This window comes from Homo sapiens, chromosome 4, assembly GCF_000001405.40.
Source record: "Homo sapiens chromosome 4, GRCh38.p14 Primary Assembly".
NCBI classification, from domain to species: Eukaryota; Metazoa; Chordata; class Mammalia; order Primates; family Hominidae; genus Homo; species Homo sapiens.
Genome location: NC_000004.12, coordinates 18,411,464 through 18,429,480, shown reverse-complemented (window position 1 = coordinate 18,429,480; position 18,017 = coordinate 18,411,464). Strand labels below are relative to the sequence as shown.

Below are 18,017 nucleotides of genomic sequence, written 5' to 3'. Positions count from 1 at the left end.
TATTCAACTTTCTCAACATTAGTCATTAGGCACTTCATTTTCTCTTCTCCCACAGCACCAAAGAACTTTGATCATATAATCAAATGACACTAATTCATTTATTGAACACCTGTTAAGGGCTATGCAAATACTAACCACAAATAAAAGAAGCTGACATAATCATTACCATTATACAGATAAAAAGATTGAAAATCGGAGGGGCAAATGAATGTCCCCTTTATACCACCAGCAGGTAGAAGAATTAGAATTCAAATTCAGCTCCATATGACCCAACCTCATACCTTTTTTCCACACAATACTGCCACCCAAGTGCACACTCATTACCCTGCATCACAGATAGGTGCTTATACATCTGTTTCTGTCTCAAACTGTGAGATTCATCTTATTTATCTTTTAATTGCAAACAACTTGCACAAGGCCTAGCACATCATATGTACTCAATAAGTTTTTATAGCCTTTCAAAATCATACTTGAAGGGAAAGTTGTCCAAGGGAAATATAATGTGGGCCACATGTATAATTTTAAATGTTTTAGTAGCCACTTTAGAAAAGATAAAAAGAAACAAGTAAAATTAATGTTTAAAATATATTTTATTTAACTTAACGCATCTGCAATATTATCATTTTAACATGTAATCTATATAAAAAGATTAATGAGATATTCTATCTTCTTTCATACTAAGTCTTTGAAATCCAATGTGTCTTTTATACTTACAACACATCTCAACTCAGAATGACCACATTTCAAGTGCTCAGAAATCACATGTGACTAGTTTACTCTATTGGACATTGCAAATTGAAGGCATATAAACTGTAAACATAAAACTAACAGAGAATTCCATCCACCCTGTGCAGGTCGACTCAAACAGTCCAAGTAGACAACACACACCCACAATCTAATCAAATCTCTCTCCTACATTCAAACAATGCCTCTACTTTCCACTCTAGGTCACTGGGACCTTCTCACAATCCTCTGAGAGTCAGGATTACTTTAGCTCTTCACTGCCTCAGACAAAGTCCACATAGGACTACTGAACAAATATTTTAACATTTTTTTAATCTTTAAATTTTTAATTTTACTAGTAAAATTTTTAAAGATTTAAATTTAAAACGTTTAGAATTTTTGTTGTCCAAAGTAATGAGGATTCCCTGTGGTCTTAGAGAGTCCCCACTACCTAGGGGGATTAAGCACACATCTACATACACAGTAATTGATTTGTGCCTCTCTTGAGGAATTTTTTAAGTTCTTCCTTGTTCTTAGACCATCTGCCTGCAGAATATGTCTGCACATAAGATTTTTAATTAGAAAATTCCATGGGTTTGGCTTGACACATGGCTAAGCCCCTGATAGTTGTCCCTTGAGTCACTGTTTGACACCCAATAGACAGTAATGGAGTAAAGAGTGTCAAGGAATTTACCATGTGTTTGGGCTATAATTTAAATTTAGGAAATGTGACTGAGGCAGGATTGATCATCAAAGTCTTCAAGGTTGAAATAGAATGCAACTAAAAATAAACCCTTAAGTAGAAAAAAAGCATGAATAAGAACATTTCAGGCAGAAAACTATGCCCCAAAAGACTCAAGGGAAGGTACTGATTTCATAAATAGTTACATAGCATTTCTTACTATGTACAAGGCACTGTTCTAAGAAATTATCAAACAGTAATTCATGTATATTTTATGGACAACCCACTAAGGTAGGCCCATTTTTGCAGATGAGGAAAAGTTGTTAAGAGACTTGGAATGCATACTCTGTTAGAAAGCAACATCCCTGAGATTTGAACATAGAACCTCTACTTCCAGGGCCCATCTTCTTAAATACTACGCTTTGCTGCCTCTGTGGCAATTATATGTTACATCTTGACCTTAAATTATGTTGGTTCTTGATGGTGGGTTCAAGACCAGCCTGGCCAAAATGGTGAAACCCCAACTTTAATAAAAATGCAAAAATTAGCTGGGCATAGTGGTGTGTGCCTGTAGTCCCAGCTACTCGGGAGGCTAAGGCAGGAGAATCACTTGAACCTGAGACGGAGGTTGCAGTGAGCTGAGATCGCACCACTGCACTCCAGCCTGGGTGACAGAGCAAGACTCTGTCTCAAAAAAAAAAGAACCAACTACTTCAGGTAGATGGGCTACCTGCAGTAAAAAGAAACATAGGTTAATTCTAATTGAGCCATCTTAAGAGACAACTGAACATTTTAATAGAAGACTCATTTTATATCCTAAGAGAATCTCTGGAGTATTTGATCTGGAGCAGAAGTTTGGAATATTTGAACTCAACATTGTTTTTTCATAGCCATTAACTCACTTTACTAGAAACGCATAAACAAGTTCTGTCTATAAGTTCCCACTGCAGAGTACATGTAGCTCCAGCACAGGAGCCATAATAGAGAGAACTTTATTTTTAAACTTTAGGGACATTCTAGTGACAGGTCAACAATAATACAGGCTCTTGTTTTATTTCAGAAATGTTTCCAGTTGTCAAATAGGCACAACCAAAAGCTATTCTTTTTTTTTTTTTTTTTAATCTTCCTCCTATGGCTACTTTGGTAAAATCAAGGAGGAAGGTAAAATCACTATTCTCAAACATCTTATAGTTTTGTTCATTTGTTCATTTTGTTCATTTGTTCATTTCAATTCAATTTAACATATAATTGCTTAGCACCTATGTGCCAGGTGTCCTCGTAGGCAATAAGAAAAGTAAGATGAATAAAGCACAAATCTTCCCTCAAGGAGCTTAACATGTTATAGATACATAAGCAAATAACTATTATACTCTAAGACAAGTTATATGGAAGGATTAGAAATACACGCTATGAACCTACAAAAGAAGCTACAACTAATTCTGGTAGAATGAAGGAAATGGGCATTTATTTGCTTAATAATGATTTTTATTCTATTTTATTTATTTTTATTATTATACTTTAAGCTCTGGGATACATGTGCAGAACATGCAGGTTTGTTTCATAAGTAAAGTGACATGGTGGTCTGCGGCGCCCATCAACCCATCATGTACATTAGGTAGATGCTATTCCTAATGCTATCCCTCCCCTAGCCTCCCGCTCACCAACAGGCTCCAGTGTGTGATGTTCCCCCTCCTTGTGTCCATGTGTTCTCATTGTTCAACTCCCACTTATGAGTAAGAACATGCAGTGTTTGGTTTTCTGTTCCTGTGTTAGTTTGCTGAGAATGATGGTTTCCAGCTTCATCCATGTCCCTGCAAAGAAGATCAACTCATCCTTTTCATGGCTGCATAGTATTCTATGATGTATATGTGCCACATTTTCTTTATCCAATCTATCATTGTTGGGCATTTGGGTTGGTTCCAAGTATTTGCTATTGTGAACAGTGCTGCAATAAACATACGTGTGCATGTATCTTTATAGTAGAATGATTTATAATCCTAATGCTATTTCTGGTTCTAGATCCCTGAGGAATCACCACACTGTCTTCCACAATGATTGAACTAATTTATGCTTCATGATTTTTAAAGGATTGTTTAGAAAAACATTGAGCTAACTACAATAAAAGAATGAAATAAGTATACAGATTGTACAGGGAGAAATCCAAGGAAAGAACGATTAATTTTACCTAGGAAAGTAAAGAAAGGCTTCAAGGTGGCAATGATATTTGAGCTAAGAAGAGTACATAGGACTTCTTCAAGGGACAAGTGGCATGGTCACAAGCAGAGGAAACGTGTGCAAAGAATCAAAGATATAAAGCATCATAGGAGGAGTGAGTAATTTCTTTGCATTTAAAAAAGCTCTCACTAACTCCTTGTTGGCAATGAGATTTGGGAGGTAATCACTTCATATAATTCTAAAACATTTACTGAGAATTTATTATGCATCACCACCTTGCAAAGTGATAGGTATATAATAATATATAAGACATGATTCCTCTTCCTAAAGATTCAAAGCTAGTAGCAGAACAATCCTTTAAGTAACTAAATGTAATTCAGTGGGACACTTGCTATAACAGAGGCAGAGTATAAGGAAAATGATGCTATTAAATTCAAATTAGGGATAAAAGACTGGTCTAAAGGTGTGATATTTGAATTGGATCTTGAGGGATGAATAAGAGTTTTCCAAGGGACAAAAAAAGAAAACATTATTTCAGACAAAGGGAACATGTGCAACGATATAATTATACAAAATATTATAGCATATTTCTGGAAAAGCAAGACTTTAGCATTGCTTCAAAGAACAGAATGACTATGAAAAAGATTGCATAGGTACACAGAGCTTACATAATGGACAGCTTTATTTTTCTTTAATAATTTCAACTTTCATTTTAGATTCAGGGAGTATATGGGCAGGTTTGTTACCTGAGTATATTGCATGATGCTAAGGTTTAGGGTACAAATGATCTCATCACCCAAATACTGAGCATTGTGTCCAACAGTTATTATTTCAACCCTTGCCCCCGCTGCCCTAAGTAGTCTCCAGTGTCCATTGTTGTCATCTTCATGTCCATTAGTGCTCATTGGTTAGCTTCCAGTTAAAACAGAACATGCAGTATTTGGTTTTCTGTTCCTGCATTAAATTGCTTCAGATAATGGCCTCCAGCTGCATCCATGTTGCTACAAAGGACATGATTTCATTTTTATTTTTTTGTAACTGAGCAGTATTCCATGGTGTATGTGTACCACATTTTCTCTATCCAATCCACCATTGATGAGTATGTAGGTTAAATCCATGTCTTTACTATTATGAATAGTGCTGCAACGAATATACTAGTGCATGTGTCTTTTTGGTAGAACTAGTTATTTTCTTACGGGTATATATTCAGTAATGGGTTTGCTGTGTCAAATGGTAGTTTGCATTAAGTTCTTTGAGACACCTCCAAACTGTTTCCCACAGTGGCTGAACTAATTTACATTCCTACAAACAGTATATAAGTGATTCTTTTTCTCCACAGCCTCACCAGCATCTGTTGTTTTTTGACTTTTTAATGATAGCCGCTCTGACTGATGTGAGATGGTATCTCATTGTGGTTCTGATTTGCATTTCTCTGATGATTAGTGATGTGGAGCAATTTTTCATATGCTCATTGGCCGCACGTTATGTTTTCTTTTGAGAAGTGTCTGTTCGTGTCTTTTGTCCATTTTTAATGGGCTTATTTATTTTTTGCTTGTTCAGTTATTTAAGCTCCTTATAGATTCTGAACACCCTTTTCCAATGCCTAGTTTACAAATATTTGTGCTCATTCTGTAGGTTGTCTGTTTACTTTGTTGATAGTTTATTTTCTCTCTGTGCAAAGCTCTTTAGTTTAATTAGGCCCTATTTGTCATATTCTGTTTTTGTTGTAATTGGTTTTAAGGACTAAATCGTAAATTCTTTCCCAAGGCCAAGGTCCAGAATAGTGTTTCGTAGGTTTTCTTCTAGGATTCTTATAATTTGAAGTCTTGCATTTAAATCTTTAATCCACCTTGAGTTAATTTTTGCATGTGGTGAAAGTAGGAGCCCAGTTTTGTTCTTCTGCAAATGGCAGCCAGTTATCCCAATACCATTTGCTGAATAGGGAGTCCTTTCCCCACAATAAAGAGCCTTATAAGAAATGCATAAATGTTGGGACTTCATGCTGTTTGTTTGTTTTTTATATAGACAGGATATCACTTTGTTGTCCAGGCCAGTCTTGAACTCCAGGGCTCAAGCCATCTACTCCGCTTTGCCTCCCAAAGTGCTCGGATTATGGGCATGAGCCATCACATCTGGCCTGCTTGGGACTTCATTCTGTAGGCAGCAGATTCATTGAGGCTTTTAAGCAGAGAAGTAATATGATTAACCCTGCCCTCCAATCAAGACTAGGCTGGCGAATTGATTGGAGAAGTTCAGACTTCAGGGCCTGGTAGAAGGTGATGGCAATGATCACTGGAGAGGAGATGGTAGCCTGAAGTGTGGCTAAGTGGAAAAGGAGGTAGCAGAAGGTATAGAAGAGAGACTATTTCAGAGGTAGAATCAACATTATGTAATGGCCATTTAGATTGTGAGGAGGTTGATAAAAGGATAGTTTATTAAAGAAGGTTGATGAGGATGACAATTTGTTTCTGGATGGAGCCATTAGATAAATAGCAAGGATAACAGTAACCAAGATAGAGCAGGTGCTCTCTGACAAAGAAATATGATGGCATGGAGAAGTGGAGGTTGATGCTGTAAAGCAGAAATACCATAAGGAGGAAGCAATCCCTTCAGGCTTTGGATGGCACCAATCTATCAGACAAATTTCCATCTGCCCACATCTACTATTTACGTTGTATTTCTTCCAAAATAAAAGAGCAATCGATCGACATCTAGTCTCCAGGCGCGACTATCCCTTCTACCTGGGATACTCATGGCAAAAACTGGCCAGGCTAAAGCAAGTAAATCAATTTGTGTCTGCCATGTTAACATCTCTGTAGGAAGTTAATTGACCCTCCTTTTGACACAAGCCCAAATGACAGATGAGAAGTGGGGGAAGATGGAAAATGGCTGGCAGTTCATGACACAAACAATGTGGGGTTGTCCTCCCATAAACAGGCTGTCTGGACAGCAGGTTACCCATGGAGCAAATCCTCAGGGAAGGTCAGAAGTTAACGGGTGCCTGAGGGTGAAGGGAGTGATTATGTAACCACAGTTGTCATGGCAACTGCAAGGAAGCCACCAGACTCAAGACACCGAAAGGCACAGACTGGAGGGGACATCCTCTCTTGGCCTTAAGGAACAAGGGGCGCAGAGTAAAGCCGATGGAGCACTGACTCAGCTCATCCCACCAGACTTCAACATGTGGCCACAGGTTAATTTTGGAAACCCTTGAGAGTTTAACCCTCGTCCACTGCTGCAAAGGCACTGGACTTGTGATCCTAAGGACAAGCTTCACGGACATGTTGCTTAAGTCATCTGAAATTAGGTAACTCATGGCTAAGAGAAGGTTCATAATACTTAGCTCACTTCTTAACCAACTGAGCAACTTGGGGCAAGTTAACTGAGCTTCAAAGACTCTGTTTTCTCATCAGTAAAATGTGCTAACGCCTGTCTTACTTGACAAGACTGTTCAGATGAATAAAGGAAGTAATTTAAAGGCAAGTGTCTGGTACACTGAAATTTGTTAAACATATAATATTTTGGTTTTAAGATAATCTAGGATCATTAATGGAGAAACAAATGTTCTCACTCCAGCTCTACTGTGTCTTAATTTGGGATGTATCAAGCCACTTTTCAGCAAATGTCCTATTTTCACAATGTAAGCCATTCTTGCCAATAGTGTGGAGAGGAATCAAAAGTTCCCTAGCCTGTACATAGTGCATTTACCTTGGTCGTTTCTTTGGTATCCAGATCATAGATAGCACACCAGCCCTTTGACCTCTGATCAAAGAAAGAGATAGTTGTCCCTGCCCTGTTAGTACCACATTCTGAGGAACTATCCATATCCTGCTGGCTATATTCTACAGTGACATCAGAGAAAGGGATGGAAAGCTCACGATAAACACATTTTCCCTTTGGTACATATCTGCCTATGATGAAGAGAACAGCAGAGATGGCTACAAACACCTTTCATCGAATTCATTACTGTAGGGCTTAATTTTTCTAGCCCTAACCAGGATGATGCCAGGTAAACTAAGTTTCTTTGTTCCTTCATTTTCTCCATCTATAAAATGGGTATGGTATAAAAATGTGAATAAATGTATAGAAATCACATCCTGAAGTGAAACTATCTTTAACTTACCTAGCTGTTGCCTAAGGCTGAAGGCCTCAGCTCAGCTCTTTTTGTGGTAAGCCTCCAGGTGGCTGAGGGCAGGCTGCCAATACAGCGTGCCCTTCCCTTCTAGAGAAAGAAGGGAACGAATATTTACTGAATACCTTTAATAGCTTCAGACACTATGCTAGGCACTTAACAGATTATGTCTTATTTTAGGTACATACAGACAAAATTCTGTGATAGGGAATCAGATAAGTTGTGTGAGCCAAATCCAAAAGGCTAGTAAATTATAATGCTAAGTTCTGTTCACTTGTTGTTTTTGTTGTTGGTTTTTATTCTGAGTGTGACGTCTTTGCTGAAGAACACACTGATCTGACACTAAGTAGAAGAAATACTTAATTTTATAGAGTCCATTCTTTCAGGAGAATTTGTAATGTCCTCACTTATCTTGATAGCAGACCTATTACAGAGGTAAAGTACAGGGGAAGTAGCATAAATGTTGGGAAAATAGGGCTCAATATTAACTCTGCACTGATATGAGGAAGGTATAAATAGAAATACAGTGTCATGCTACAATTTCCCATATTCCCAGAATTATGGTGACAGTCAATAGATGCTTTTTCAATGAATATATTGAATTCCTATTGGGCTAAACTTCAAGAATGAAAAGGCCCTCCTAGCCATCACCACCACATTTGTGTCCCTGTAAGACAAAGCCAGGGACGTAAAGCCTTGGTCTTTCAATGTCAGGAGACAATAAAGCTTAGGGAATAAGAACAAGCATGTTGTAATCCTACAGACCTGAGTTCAAAACTGGCTTTATTACTTAATCATGGTGGGACCTCAGGCCAGTTTTACCACCAGCACATTTGTCCAGGGATTGTACGAATCATGTCTGTCTTGCTCTATGTCCTATTCTAGCACCTATAAGTCTGCCCGGTGCATGGGATGAGGGCAATTGATGTTTGTTAAATGACTGTCTTAAAATCCCTTAACCATATAATAAGCACTCAAACTACGCAATTTAGGATTTTTGCAGAATTCTAAATTTACAATTTGCACATAGTTGATGTTATCCAACATTAGAGATGGACAGACTTTGGCAACCACGTCTCTTTGTAGCCAAAGAAACTGTAGCCCAGTGAACAACTTGCCCCAACTCACCTAGCTAGGATTTGAACCTGGAATGCCTGATATGTGTTTGGCTACACTTAGTTATTTTCTATGTAAGCCCACAGGATTTTAGACATAGCTATTTTAATGATAAACACTGGTACAAAGACTTTCATAAGACATCAAGATTATCACTTGCTTGTTTGACAGAAAGAGAAAATAAAAACTTCTGAGGATATCCATTGATACAGATGATCCCCAAGTTTTTAGTGAGCATGCTCACTAAAAACAATGCTAGAGTTAGATCCACAGGTCAGAAGTGAAAGGTCACCGCTCAGGCCCTATCCGGTAATAATGAACTGCAGACAGCCCCTTGGGTACTTCTTAGTGAACTTCATAGGGAAAAAGAAAGCTCTCGCGCTCAGCAACTGGCTGCTCCCTATCTATCCTCAGGGATTGACTTGTAAAGAGAGGAACACTGGATCCCAAACAAAGTACATGTGCATGGTGCCTGTGTTTGATGCAAGTTGCAAAGAAAAAGAAATGTGATGGAAGAAATCAAAGTATTCTTTGTACAAAGTGGGGGAAAAAGAAAGAAAAGTATTGATAGCTAAAAATCTAGGCCACATGGTTCATATTTAGTTTCATGTTTATGTTTTCAGTAAGATATAAGCTGTGGTCTGGGCAATGCAAATTGTGGCTTTTTGATAGTCATAGTCGCAAACCTTTGAGTTCTCACGAAGGCTTATTTGAAGCAGCTTTCTACAACAGAAATCTCAACTCAGGGATCTTGTTATGCTCATCATACCTAGTAGGCTTCCGAGGCTAAAAGTACATTTGTTTTTCCTTTTCATAACAGTCCTTTTCAGAACAGTCATGTTCCACATAAGGGTATTTCTGCCAACTGCATATTTGACAGTGGTCCCATAAGATTATAATGAAGCTGAAAAGTTTCTATCACCTAGTAACAGCATAGCTGTTACAAGTCACAACACAGTGCATAATTCACATGTTTGTAGGAAGGCTGGTATAAACAAACCTACTGCAGTGACTTTTGTTCATTATTTTATAGTGTAATTATCTGTTTATAACAACAAAAATGATAACTGTAAAACAGCCTCAAGTAGCTCCTTCAGGAGGTCTTCCAGAAGAAGGCATTTTGATCACAGGAGATGACAGCTCCGTGATGCTATTGCCCCTGAAGACCTTCCATTTGGACAAGATGTGGAGGTAGAAGACAGTGATATTGGTGATCCTGATCCTGTGTAGGCCTACACTAATGTATTTGTGTTTTAGCCTTTAACAAAAAGTAAAATAAATAAATAAAATTTTAGATAGAAAAGTTTATAGAATAAGAATATAAAGAAAGAAAATATTTTTACAGCTATACAATGCATTTGTGTTATTATTACCAGAGTCAAAATGTTCTAAAAATTAAAAGGTTTATAAAGTAAGAAAGTTATGATAAGCTAAGGTTCATTATGATTGAAGAAAGAAAATTTCTTTATAAATTTCGTGTAGTCTAAGTTTACAATTTATAAAATCTATTGTAGTATACAGTAATGTCCTCGGACTTCACATTCACTCACCGTTCACGCACTCACCCAGGGCAACTTTTAGTCCATTTATGATGTGTCCCCTATGCAAGTATACCATTTTTAAATCTTTTATGCCATATTTTTACTGTATCTTTTCTATGTTTAGATAGGTTTAGCTACAAAACTCTTACCGTTGCATTACAGTTGCCTCCAGTCCTCAGTACATGCTGTCCATGTTTGTAGCCCAGAAGTGAGAGGTGACAGCCTGCTGGCAGTCCTCACAGCCCTCGCTCTCTCTCGGCGCCTCCTCTGCCTGGGCTCCCACTTTGGCGGCACTTGAGGAGGCCTTCAGCCCACCGCTGCACTGTGGGAGCCCCTTTCTGGGCTGGCCAAGGCCGGAGCCAGCTCCCTCAGCTTGCATGCAGGTGTGGAGGGAGAGGCGCGAGCTGGAATCGTGGCTGCGCGCGGCGCTTGCGGGCCAGCTGGAGTTCCGGGTGGGCGTGGGCTTGGCGGGCCCCGCACTCGGAGCAGCCGGCCGGCCCTGCCGACCCCATGCAATGAGGGGCTTAGCACCCGGGCCAGCGGCTGCGGAGGGTGTACTGGGTCCCCCAGCAGTGCCAGCCCACCGGCGCTGCGCTCGATTTCTCGCCGGGCCTTAGCTGCCTTCCCGCGGGGCAGGGCTCGGGACCTGCAGCCCGCCATGCCTGAGCCTCCCACCTCCATCGTGGGCTCCTGTGCGACCGGAACCTCTCGGATGAGCCCCGCCCCCTGCTCCGCCGGCGCCCAGTCCCATCGACCACCCAAAGGCTGAGGAGTGCGGGCGCACGGCGGGAGACTGGCAGGCAGCTCCACCTGCAGCCCCGGTGCGGGATCCACTGGGTGAAGCCAGCTGGGCTCCTGAGTCTGGTGGGGACGTGGAGAACCTTTATGTCTAGCTCAGAGATTGTAAATATACCAATCGGCACTCTGTATCTAGCTCAAGGTTTGTAAACACACCAATCAGCACCCTGTGTCTAGCTCAGGGTTTGTGAATGCACCAATGACACTCTGTATCTAGCTACTCTGGTGGGGACTTGGAGAACCTTTGTGTCCACACTGTGTATCTAGCTAATCTAGTGGGGATGTGGAGAACCTTTGTGTCCAGCTCAGGGATTGTAAACGCAGCAATCAGCGCCCTGTCAAAACAGACCACTGGGCTCTACCAATCAGCAGGATGTGGGTGGGGCCAGATAAGAGAATAAAAGCAGGCTGCCAGAGCCAGCAGTGACAACCCGCTTGGGTCCACTTCCACACCATGGAAGGTTTGTTCTTTCGCTCTTTGCAATAAATCTTGCTGCTGCTCACTCTTTGGGTCCACACTGCCTTTATGAGCTGTAACACTCACCGCGAAGGTCTGCAGCTTCACTCCTAAAGCCAGCGAGACGACGAACCCACCGGAAGGAACGAACAACTCCAGACGTGCCGCCTTAAGAGCTGTAACACTCACCGCGAAGGTCCAAAGCTTCACTCCTGAGCGGGCGAGACCACGAACCCCACCAGAAGGAAGAAACTCCGAACACATCCAAACATCAGAAGAAACAAACTCCGGACACGCCGCCTTTAAGAACTGTATCACTCACCGCGAGGGTCCACAGCTTCATTCTTGAAGTCAGTGAGACCAAGAACCCACCAATTCCGGACACAGAAGCAATAGGCCACACCACGTAGCCTAGGTGTGTAGTAGGCTATACTTCCTAGGTTTGTGTAAGTACACTCTGATATTCACACATCAACAAAATTATCTAAGGATCCATTTCTCATTGTATCCCCGTTGTTAATCCATGCATGACTGTGCTTGTTAAGCATTTATAAACACACAAAGAATTCATTCACGGCTCTGTAAAACACAATATTTCCTATCTCAGCTATATTTAAAATGCCCCAGCAAATACAATGGCTTTGCTCATGCTCTTCTCCAGTAGGTTTTCACCCTCGAAAGATCAACATGAAATAGAAGCTGATTGGCTCGGGGCTTTAGCAGTAGCTCCTGCAAGCAGCATCACAGCCTAGACTCCTGGAGTGATCCTGCCTCCTCTACTTCTTGTAGACACCAAAAGAGAAACCCAAGTTATCGCTAACCCCAGCCAACTCAAGTTGTTAACTGGAAAGCTAAATACTTTGCATATCTTCCTATCACCCAAATAACCCCAGAATTAACCTTCTAAGTTTCTCTGCTTCCTTATTTTGGCTTCTTACTTTCAGGCGGCTCTACTGCAAAGTGTACTCTATTACAAAAGTACATCTGACCCTGTTCCATACAGTCTTTTGAACTCCAGCAGGCCCTTGAACTCCCAGGATATTGGCCTGGCTTGTTCTCATGGTGATAGCAGAAAAGCAAGAGAAAAGAGCAGAATTGCTAACTGTCAAAGAGGCTTCTTGAGACACAAACATAGAATGGGCATATTGTTACTACTGTGGTCTTCTGGGAATAAAGGAAGACCACCCAAATGAGAAAAAGCAAAGGCTTTTTATTCAGAGCTTGATAGAGCAAGAAAGTCAGCCACTGTCACTTGCATATGACAGAATCAAAGACAGGCAGAGGTGTGGGAAGCTTTCTAGTGGAAAAAAAGAGAAGGCCTCAGGTGAGCTGCAATTGTAGGTTGTTGCACAGAGCAACTATAGGTGAGTTAACTGGGAGCGGGGCATCTTATGTGATTGGTTGGGGGTGCATATTTAGTTTTATCTAGTTGGTTCTAATTTGGAAGCAGGGGCAAACATTAGGAAAGTTGTCAGTTATTAATCAAGTCCTGACCATTTGTGGCCAATGGTTATGAAAGTTATTGTTTCTTTTTCTGGGCTGGGTGCTGCTGGATATTGTTCATTTAAATATGAAGTCTTTCACTCTCTTGGCAGAGTGAGTCACAAAATTAACCCCTATTCAAAGTTGGGGAAATAGACTCCACAGTTAATGGGAGGAAATGAAAAGCCACATTGCAAAGAATGTGGACACAGGGACATCATTACTTGAAGTCATGAAGGCAATCAGCCTAAAATAAGCTTCCAAGGTGTGTGAGGGACTGAATGTGAATTATAAGGAAAAAAAGGGGTCGAGGTTGATTCCAAGTGTTTTTGCTCTAAGTAACTGGAAAAAATGGAGCGTTAGGACCTAGACGACAAGGAGTAGAATTAACAACTTCATTTTGGATTTAAATATCTGAGTGGAGTTCGCAACTGGGTATACAAATCAGGAGGAAGTTAGAATGGAAATAATAATTTGGTAGGGAGTGACTCAAAGAAAAGAAAATAATTGGTAAGTCTTGAATATTAGAGAGATGCAGCAAAGCAGACAAAGAAGTGGCCAGTGCATTAGGGGGACTCCAAGAAATGGTGGTATCCCAGAAACACAGGGAAATAAATGCTTCAAGAAGGACATAATCAATATAATCAGCTTGTGTCGAATGTAGAGCAACAGGAGGACAAGGAATTCACCAGTGAATTTGGCAACAACTTGTAGATCAGTAATGGCCTTGACATTGGTGACCTCCTAAGATTGTTTCTAGACTGTCTTTTTCTCGACCCCCTACTCCTACTACACAGGGGGCCAGTAACACCCCTCTCCTGGAAGATCGCAGTAGACTTACTACTGGCCTCCCCACAGCTGCTTTGCCTTCTTCCCAATCACTGCCATACTGTAGCCTCCTGTGTAAGTCTGTGGGATTCTGAAAGGCTGCCACATCTCCTGACTCAAAACGGGCTTAGTTAATATTTTTTAAATAAATTAATGACATCAGATGAAGTCTGTGAGGTGCACAATATTGTCCCTGTTTTAAAGATGAGGAAACAGATTCAGTGAGGTCAAGACTTTGTTCCAGGAACTGAACAACAGTCTGCCTCACTCCTACCTGCTGACTTTTCATGTATGTGTGTCTGGGATGTGGGGGTGGGTGGTGCTCACCACTGGCTGGAGTTTCTCTTTTTTTTTTTTTGAGACGGAGTTTAGCTCTGTCGCCCAGGTTGGAGTGCAGTGGCTAGATCTCGGCTCACTGCAACTTCTACCTCCCGGGTTCAAGCAATTCTCCTGCCTCAGCCTCCTGAGTAGCTGGGAGTACAGGCACCTGCCACCAAGTCCAGATAATTTTTGTATTTTTAGTAGAGACGGGGTTTCACTATGTCGGCCAGGCTGTTCTCGAACTCCTGACCTCATGATCCACCCGCCTCGGCCTCCCAAAGTGCTGGGATTACAAGCATGAGCTACCGCACCCGGCCTAGAGTTTCTTAAGGACAGAGTTCATATATTATTCATTTTGGAGTTAAAACTCATCCCTGTGTTTCTGATACTAGTCTCAACAAATATTGACTGGATTGAGTTGCAGAGAATTGAATTTCATAGATTTGAGGTGAACTGAAAAAATATGCAAACCTTGTAAAAATATGTTTAGGTTTATCTTATAAATTTTATTTTCAGTTTATAATAGCAATTTCTGCCTCCCTCTTCCCCCTTTCATTGTTGTGGTTTCTTTCTTCGGGGAGATATTTTTTCATCCACGCTTGCAGCTAGTTGGCTCTGGCAGAGGTTACCTATTGTGCTTTCTGGCTCACCTCAAGTACTATTTGTGTTTGTCTGATGGAGAGAGAATTCAGCCCATTATGAAGCAATAGAAATTGTGTGAATGCTTTCAGCCTGGGAGTCAGTGCACTCACGGGAAGTAGGGCTCTCAAGCTCCGGCAGACTGCGGACCACTTAGGTGAAATAGACGAAGCCCACGAACCAACAACCGCCCTCATTCCCACTTGGGGCTGCCCCAAATGAAAACCACACCCTAAGAAATGGAAAGCTGGTACCACCTCTGATGAGCTGCAGACGAGACAGTGCCTGCTTTTATTAAATATCATAAACAAATAACTTAATAATACCCAAAACCAAACCATCGATGCTATCACACAATCTACAAGCATTAATGCCACAAGACCACTGGGTTCTCCAACTGTAGACTACCAGGTGGCACCCAACAAAACTTCAAAAATATCCTAATTAATGGTATTTTTACCCTTAATAATGATAATGGTAATAATATTGATAAAAATAATACATGACAATGTAACTTTCAGTCTGAAGTAAAGTTTATAAAGAAGTTCAATTTGATCTCTCAGAGCTATACATAAGTTTGGTTTTTGTTTGTTTGTTTTTGTTTTGTTTTCTTGAGACTGAGTCTTACTCTGTCTCCCAGGCTGGAGTGCAGTGGCGGGATCTCGGCTCACTGCAGCCTCCGCCTCCCGCGTTCAAGCAGTTCTTCTGCATCAGCCTCCTGAATAGCTGAGACTACAGGCGCACACTACCATGCCTGGCTAATATTTTTTTTTTTTTTTTCAGTAGAGACGAGGTTTCACCATGTTGGCCAGGATGGTCTCGATCTCCTGACCTCGTGATCCGTCCACCTCAGCCTCCCAAAGTGCTGGATTACAGGTGCGAGCCACCGCACCCAGCCCCATACAATAAATTTGTGAGGAATACTGAACAGGGATTATGGTGACTATTCCAGCACAGATGAAGGCTCAGAAAAGATGCATGTTAGGTAAAATGATTCATGGACAGGAAGTTACAAAGCCAGTAGATCCCCAACTCACACGCTTACTTGGCCATCTTGAGGGTCTGGGACTATGATAGACTGAATTACTGCTCCCAACTTTTCACTCCCTCTCTGTTACAGAAGTATACATCTGAACATGTTGCCATATAACTTTATAGTTCTTCCCCAAATGGGTGGACTACATTTTCCTGCCTCTGTGAGTTCAGCTGGCCATGTGACTTGCTTTGGCCAATAAAATGTTAATGAACATTTTATTGTGGGCAGTGGCTTTAGAGGGTTCCCATGGCTTGGCTGGCTCTCTTGCACTCCTATCATTCACTATGAGAAGATGCCTAGGATAGTGGTAGAAGGAAATTGAGAAGACATTTGGAATAGACCTGCATCCAACCTGCATGGCAGAGCCAAACCTACTTGAATCCATCCAGGTCCAGCTGAAATAAGCCAAATACCATCCAACTTACAGATCCAATGTGTGAGAAAAATAAATGTTTACTGCTATGAGCCAATGAGTTTTGGGGTTGCTTATTATGCAGCTCTATTATAGCAAGAGCTAAATAACACAGAAACTATGTCTTATTTTATGAGTGGGAATTTGGCTAAGGGGTGATGGATCTGTTGCCGTGTGCAGAAAAATGAGCACAAGTTTTGTAGTCATAACTCGCAGAACAAGCACTCAAATCCCAGTTGTGCCACATCTCAGCTATGTGACCTTGAGGAAATTACCTACTTGTCTGAGCCTTATTTCTGTTATCTACTAATCAGGATAATAATATCTATTTTGTAAAGTTGCTGCATGGATTAAAGGAGATATTTTATGTCAACAACTAGAACAATATAGGAACCACAATTTTCCATAATTGTTTCTGTCTCAGATCTGAGTAAAATGTCTTTTTTTTTAACCATATATGCTAGATTTTGGCCAACGTCGGGGGTCAGGGTCTGGAAAGGTATCTTTAGTATTACATGACTTTCATTTTATTTTATTTTAAATTCAGTGTACATGTGCAAGTTTGTTACATGGATTAAATTGCATAATGCTGAGGTTTGGGCTTCTAAGATACCCATCACCTAAATAGTGAACATTGTACCCAATAGGTAATTTTTCAACCCTCATTCCCTTCCCACCAGCCCCCCTTTTGGAGTCCCCAGTGTCTATTATTTCCATGGTTTTATCCATGTGTACCCAATGTTTAGCTACCACTTATAAGTGAGAACATATGATACATACCATGTGTTGAACCCAGGGTTTAATCAGGAAAGAAAGAAAGAGAGAGAGAGAAAAGAAAGGAAGGAAGGAAGGAAGGAAGGAAGGAAGGAAGGAAGGAAGGAAGAAAGAAAGAAAGAAAGAAAGAAAGAAAGAAAGAAAGAAAGAAAGAAAGAAAGAAAGAGAAAGAAGAAAGCAAGCAAGAAAGCATAGAAAGAAAGAGAAGAAAAAGAAAGAAAGAATAGAAAGAGAGAAGAAAAGAAAGAAAGAGAGAGGGAGGGAGGAAGGAAAGAAGGAAGGAAGGAGGGAAGGAAGGAAGAAAGAAAGAAAGAAAGAAAAAGATAAAGAAAGACAAGCAAAGAAAGGAAAGGAAAGGAAGAAAGAAGAGATGAGAGGAGGGAAGGAAGGAGGGAAGTAGGGAGGGAAAAGAGAGAGACAGAGAAGTAATAGGGGAGGGAAAGAAGGGAGAATGAGAGTTTAAATGCAACTAACCTCAAGACCTCACATAGGAAAAAGTGCTTCCTCATGCCATCCTCTCAATGCATTCCTCTCAGGCTTGCAGTGAGAGTACAGAGACTGAGCCCAGATATGCAAGAAGACTGTGGTGAAATATGAGAAATGAAAATGAAGAAGTTGACTAATGTGATTAAGATCACATTAATCACTAACTAACCAGTCATAATAAGTACCTGACTCCTGGAACTGCTTACTTGCACCTTCTGTTTGTGCAAGGTACATGGCTTGAGCTCAGTAATTAGGTGCTGATTGAGTATATCTGGGATTGTGCCATAACCTCTCTAGCCAGAGGGTTTATGTGCCCTCCAGGTCTAAAATTCTATGATTATGGCAAGCAAGATGTAAGCACAGTGAGATAAACACCACATGGAGGTGGTTCATCGGCTGGTTGCCTAAAAAAATG

At 40.8% G+C, this 18,017-nt stretch overlaps 1 long non-coding RNA gene across 2 annotated transcripts in view; it reads right to left on the bottom strand.

Moving 5' to 3' along the window:
* Nucleotides 1-17,680, bottom strand: part of LOC105374510 (uncharacterized) — a 428,164-nt gene extending 410,484 nt beyond the window's left edge. Inside the window, exon 1 of one of the 2 annotated variants that reach the window (XR_001741602.2) lies at nt 17,591-17,680. This is a non-coding gene — a long non-coding RNA (uncharacterized LOC105374510). Of the gene's footprint in view, nt 1-10,518; nt 11,252-17,590 lie in introns of those variants that run through there. The other variant, XR_001741601.2, reaches the window with a different exon arrangement.
* Nucleotides 17,681-18,017: the final 337 nt, after the last annotated feature.